Below are 6000 nucleotides of genomic sequence, written 5' to 3'. Positions count from 1 at the left end.
TCCCAGTGACATGCGAGAGAAGAGCGAAGTGACTCAGCGAGGCAACACTGACCATGGCAGGGCTCTGATCTCTCACACACCCATTCAGGATTTATGCACGTATACAACACCAAAGCCCTGCTTCCTGTGTTCCTCGCTTGATCCCACCCAGTTCCCACTTCCATCACGCTGTCCTCTGGACCATCCCACAGTGCTGCCCACTTCTTGCTAACACCAGGTTCCTCCTGCCACCTCCTTCGGGGAAAGTGATTTGACCTCCTAGTTGCACATGTTCAGTGCTGTGCTAACCTGTGTTGATGACAGACCTGTTGTTAGTTGGTTTCCTTCAAATTTTGTGTAAACCATAGTGTGTGTGTAAAATACAGACTTTGCAAATAAACATGTTATTATGGGCACCAATTGGTGTTAAACTGGCCATTTTTTTTGCTCATTTTATTATACATTTAGTTCTTACAGACATCAACTGGCATTATTTTGACCTGTTTTTCCACTTGATTTTTGCATATTTGGTTGTTTTAGTGCAAGTATGTTTTTCCCTAGATATTCATGGTCAAACTTACACCTTGGCATTTTACTTTGTTTCTTCATGTATTTCCTATACTTTATTTTTAAATCTCTTTAGGAGAAGAAGCTCAGTTACAATCTAAATTTTTGTGGAGTATTGTCCCTTTACATTTCTCCTGTTACTTTTTTAACTAGCTTTGATACTTCTCCTTCACCAACATACTGTTTTTCTCTTTGATACTGACCACTTGCTGTTTTGTGTTTATCACTGTCCACTTACCTAACATTTTCTGACATCTGTAAGATTTTCTTCCCTTATAGTGAGTCATAGTGAGCCCTGCTGAGGGTAGAGAAGCTGATTCTGCTTTGCCACCTGAGGCGCACAGACACGTGGTAATAAAAATAACATAGAACGAGGCTGCAGAGCCCCGCACAGAGGAAAGCACTGTTGGATAAATGGCCATAAACAACACAACATAACTTGCAATAGTGCCCACACACTACTAGTTGATAAAACTCAGTGTGGCTTTCATGGGAAGAAGCAGGCCTACTCTGTGCAGCTGCTGCTGAAAGACTAGGAAAAAGTGTGATTTACAAACAATGCTTAAGGTCATCCCTAGCATCACTAGAAGCCCTGATTCTCTCCAATAGGCTTGCATTATTTTCTAGCAAATGAACCACATTTCATGGAGAACTTTGATTTTGTGATAATGTCCTGTGACACTCCCTTCTGACTGTTTTGTCTCCTTATAGAAAGAAACAACACCCTGCATTTTCAAACTGTTGATTATAAACTCTTAAATGTAGACCTCACATAATTGGGGTTCATCAATACACAGCCTTTTCAGTAAACAATGCCAGAAATTCAGGTGCGTTTTTCAGGCAATTTTATTTCATCTTCCTTTTTGCATCCTATGGACTTGTGACTCTCCGATGCCCTAATGAAACCCTGCTTTCTCTCAACATCTAGAATTCACAGACTAATTCTGATTTTTTTTCCCTAGCTTGAGGTATGGAATCAACTATTCTTCCAACAGGCAGTGGTTTCTCTTTTCAGAAAATTGCTTTAGAAGCCACAGGCACTAGGTCTACAAATAAGCTTGTTCCATATTCCAACTAGAATTTGTCAGGATGACAGCAAAAATATCCAAGAGCATAAATCACTGTAGGGACAGAACAGATAAAGTCTCCTTATAAAAAATGTCCATGGGTTCTTATTGACATTTCTAATTTACCTCTATTTTAATATGTTCTTTTGCCTTACTCTAATAAAAAGTTTATGAATCCATTTTTCAACTTTTGAGCAACTAATTTTTCTTGTTTTCATTAATGTTAACAATCACAAAAAGCCATATATTGTCATACCAAATCACAAGTCTAAATTTCACTGCCACCACCCCAAAATGCAGGCGGCTCATATCTTCTCTTCTTTCTTGACCGTCAGCTCAGCCATCCTGAAACCGGCTTTACAGTGTGCAGATCCCATCAATTCTTTGGTCAGCTTCATGTTAGCACCAATATCTGAAAGGAAGGAAGCCCCAGCTTCCATCTAGATGAACACCAAAGAAACTAACAGCTCAGAACACTCAGTATGATACATAGATACGCTGTTTGCTTAATAAAAGATAATAACAGGCCGGGCGCGGTGGCTCATGCCTGTAATCCCAGCACTTTGGGAGGCCCAGGTGGGTGGATCACCTGAGGTCAGGGGTTCAAGACCAGCCTGGCCAACATGGTGAAACCCCATCTCCACTAAAAATACAAAGAATTAGCTGGGCATGGTGGTGGGTGCCTGTAATCCCAGCTACTCGGAAGGCTGAGGCAGGAGAATCATTTGAACACGGAAGGTGAAGGTTACAGTGAGCCGAGGTTGCAATGAGCTGAGATTGCGTGCCATTGCACTCCAGCCTGGGTAACAAGAGAGAAACTCCGTCTCAAAAAAAAAAAAAAAAGGAAAAGAAAAAAAGGAAAAGGTAATAAAAGGTGAATCTAGACAAATACTACTTTTCAAAGTTTCAAAAATATTATCTGTCAATTTTCTCCATTTGAGCTCCCTAATTTGAATTTAGTTTATATTCTCTTTATATTTTTTCTCTTACTAGTGCCTTTGTATATTTATGGAGCACAAATTTTAGTAGTAAACTCTAGCTTCACAGAGGGCCATGGATATATACAGTGGTGCACTGGCACCAGCTTGTGCCAGCTGACGAGAGTCAATTGTGTGCTTCTCTTCCCAATTCTGCATCAAATTTGCCAATTAAAAGACAAATGGTAAACTCCAGAGAATCATGTTCATAGCTTGAAATCTGCATCATGGTCCGGGCGTGGTGGCTCATGCCTGTAATCTCCAGCACTTTAGGAGGCCGAGGCGGGTGGATCACCTGAGGTCCAGAGGTTGAGACCAGCCTGGCCAACATGGTGAATCCCTATCTCTACTAAAAATACAAAATTAGCCAGGCATGGTCGTGGGCACCTGTAATCCCAGCTACTTGGGAGGCTGAGGCAGGAGAATGGCTTGAACCCGGGAGGTGAAGATTGCAGTGAGCCAAGGTCGCACCTTTGCACTCCAGTCTGGGTAACAAGAGTGAAACTCCATCTCAAAAAAAAAAAAAAAAAAAAGGAAGGAAGGAATCTGCATTGTGGAAATATTTACACCATGGAAATTAGCAATCTCTATAAATTAGGCCTTTTTACCCAGAGACCCAGTTGTTGGGTATTTACGAGGAAAACTCTTTTTTCCCAAAATTTTTCCCAAAACCAGTCAAAACATCAGAACATAAAATCAGTTAACATCCAGAATTATCAGTCATATTCCAGATATTATGGTTGAGAATTCCCACTCAAGAAGTTTACACAGAGTAGCTTTTGGAGCTTTATGTAATTTTTGCAATATTTACTGGTAGTGCTCCTCAGAACCAATCCTTAAAAGATAAAAAATATAACTGGATTATAGCACCTTTTAGTTATAATATCCAAGGCACATTACATTTAGCTATTCACCCATTTCAAGTAATTGTCAGATAGTTTTGATTCATCCCCAGAAGGTTTTATTTCCACAACAGACAAACAGAGAATTCAGTAGTTTCTTGTTACTAACATTTCTGGGCTAATATCTAACTTTTTGCATGAATTAATATGCACTATACTCTCACCTCCACAATCATTCCATAGCAAATGTGTGTCTTCTGGATGATGTGGAAGAGAGAGCCCAGCAAGCACTATGGGCCTGGCTTTGCCAAAATCTAAAACAGGCCAAAGGGATATTAAATTTCTTATTTGGTGTGGGTTGGGCTGGGCCAGTAATTTGTTCTCACTTACAGTGGTCTGTCGTATGTTTCACCACCACCACCACCCTGCACCTCACCATGTTATTCCCAGGAATGTAATGGCCTCAGATATCCCATCATTGGAAACACTTCATAGTAGAGGTTACCATTTTGTTGTTTATTTAGCACCTGAATTTAGGCAAGAGAAACATTTCTACCTGAAGACTCCATGCAGTCAAATTTCCCTGCCTTTATATTGGAATTTCTACAGAGACCCATGGTCTCCCCAAGTGAGGAAGCCAGGGCACTCAGCCCTCACCCTCCAGCTGCCTTGGGACAGTACTTGCCTGATTCCTCTTTCTGGGGGCGTGGCACTCTGAGCTGTATCTCATCTGGATCTATCACTCTTCCTTCATACTCTGTGGCATTCTCTCTCATCCTAGCCCCATACCCTGAACAAGACTTCATCTGACATTGCCCCTATATTTTTACTTGCCTCTTAAACTTGGCTAGGAATGGTTGTGCCCACTCAAGGACACAGAGCCATGGCCTTGTTGGATCTTTGGGCATCCGACTGTGCTTGGCCACACCAGCTCCTAGCACAAGACTGTTCCTGATGCTCTTTCTTTCCTCTAATCTGACTTCCCCTCTACCCTAGTACTGTCCATTTTACATCCCTCCACATTCTGCAACATTCTATTTTCTTCTTCATTTTCCTACCTATTACTAAACAAAGGTTTGGGTGGAAGGACGTATTTCAACTCTTCCCCATTTTTCCCCAAGTCAGAAATCATCAGAAGCCACAAGAACAAGCCCAGATCCAAAACTGAACCCAAACAAGTATTTTTGTTTTCTAAGACATATAACCTTGAATATACCCCCAGGCTTTTCAACTATCTTTCACCTATCTCTTCAAACAAATATGTCCACCTAATATTGTTAACCGTTTATATATAGCTTTTAATTTGTTATTTCTTCAAACCAGGAATTATTTTAAATCTTTTTTTTTCCAAAAGGATAGTTTTATTTTTGGGATACCCTTTTACTTTGTTGTCATTTTTATTCTATTGCATTATAAGAAAAGTGTGAGACCTTATGGCTTCTGCTTATTGGGCAATATGCAATATAATATTGTGTGTTGTTAAAATTTATGCATAGTATATTATATTACATTTGCCATCTACTATTTGCTTTTCATGTTCCTTATTTTGTCCTCTAAATTTATCTATCTAATGTGTGTATGTCTGATTTGTTTTACCTTCTATTTAATATTTTTATTTATAAATATACCACAGGTGATTCACTCATTCTATTGGTGGACATTTTGGTAATTTCTCATGATCTCTCTCCTATTTTCAATGCCAAACAATGATTCCTTGAACAGATTTACGTGTACCTACTTTTTCTATGAATTCAAGTTTTCTCTAGGATGGGTGCCTAAAATTATTATTGCTTGATCACAGGTTGTACAATTTTCTGCTTTGCCAGTATCCCCAGATTGCAACCCAAAGGTGTCATAATAATTTATAAATTCTCATCAGTAGCTTATGAGAATTTTCCCCACATCTTTGCCAATACTTGATTTTTTTTATTTTTGCCACTTTGATGGTTGTATAACATCTTTTTTTTTTCCACATGTCCCTGGAGAAAGACATGTATCTTCAGATTGAAGAAACTTGAGTCCTGAAGAGAATAAATAAAAATAAATCTGTACTTAGTGACATTATAGTGAAACTTCAGAACACCAAAGACAAAGAGGAAAATCTTAAAAGCAACAAGGAGAAAACACAATTTACTTACCGTGGAAGGATAAGCAGACTGACAGCAGATCTCTCAGTGGCAATTATAGAGGTCAGAAGACAATGGGATGACATCTTCAAAGTACTAATGGGCAGGAAAACCTGTCAAACTACAATTCTATATGCAGCTGTTCAACCCACAGTTATTCCCCCAGTGGTTGTATCTGTGCATCCCCAATTGGCCTCCCTCCTTTCTTCACAAATGGATACTGCTCCTTGACCAAGAGGGTGAGAGGTGTCTGAAGGGTGGCAATCCCAGCCCCTCCCTCTCTTTATGATATTCCCTCAGAAAACATATTTCCATCTAGGTGTGCTAAACCTTTAGATTATAATTTTTTTCTTAGCCATCAGGATGCTGCAGGGATAAATTAAAACTTTCATTTCCCTCGGTTTGTACAATTGCGCTGTGGGGGAGGCAAGTCAGTCATTAA

The 6000-nt window shown here is 39.7% G+C and overlaps 1 protein-coding gene across 3 annotated transcripts in view; it reads right to left on the bottom strand.

The window, feature by feature from the left end:
* Positions 1-399: 399 nt before the first annotated feature.
* MOBP (myelin associated oligodendrocyte basic protein) overlaps positions 400-6000 on the bottom strand; it is a 61818-nt gene continuing 56217 nt past the window's right edge. For all 3 annotated transcript variants that reach the window (NR_103505.2, NR_103504.2, NR_003090.3), the window contains 2 exons: positions 5571-5654; positions 400-5453 (listed from right to left, as the gene is read on the bottom strand). The gene's annotated coding sequence lies outside the window, so the exon portion shown is untranslated. The remainder of the gene's footprint in view (positions 5454-5570; positions 5655-6000) is intronic.

Source organism: Homo sapiens, chromosome 3, assembly GCF_000001405.40.
Source record: "Homo sapiens chromosome 3, GRCh38.p14 Primary Assembly".
In the NCBI taxonomy this organism is placed as follows: domain Eukaryota; kingdom Metazoa; phylum Chordata; class Mammalia; order Primates; family Hominidae; genus Homo; species Homo sapiens.
This window is presented reverse-complemented; position numbering and strand designations above follow the sequence as displayed.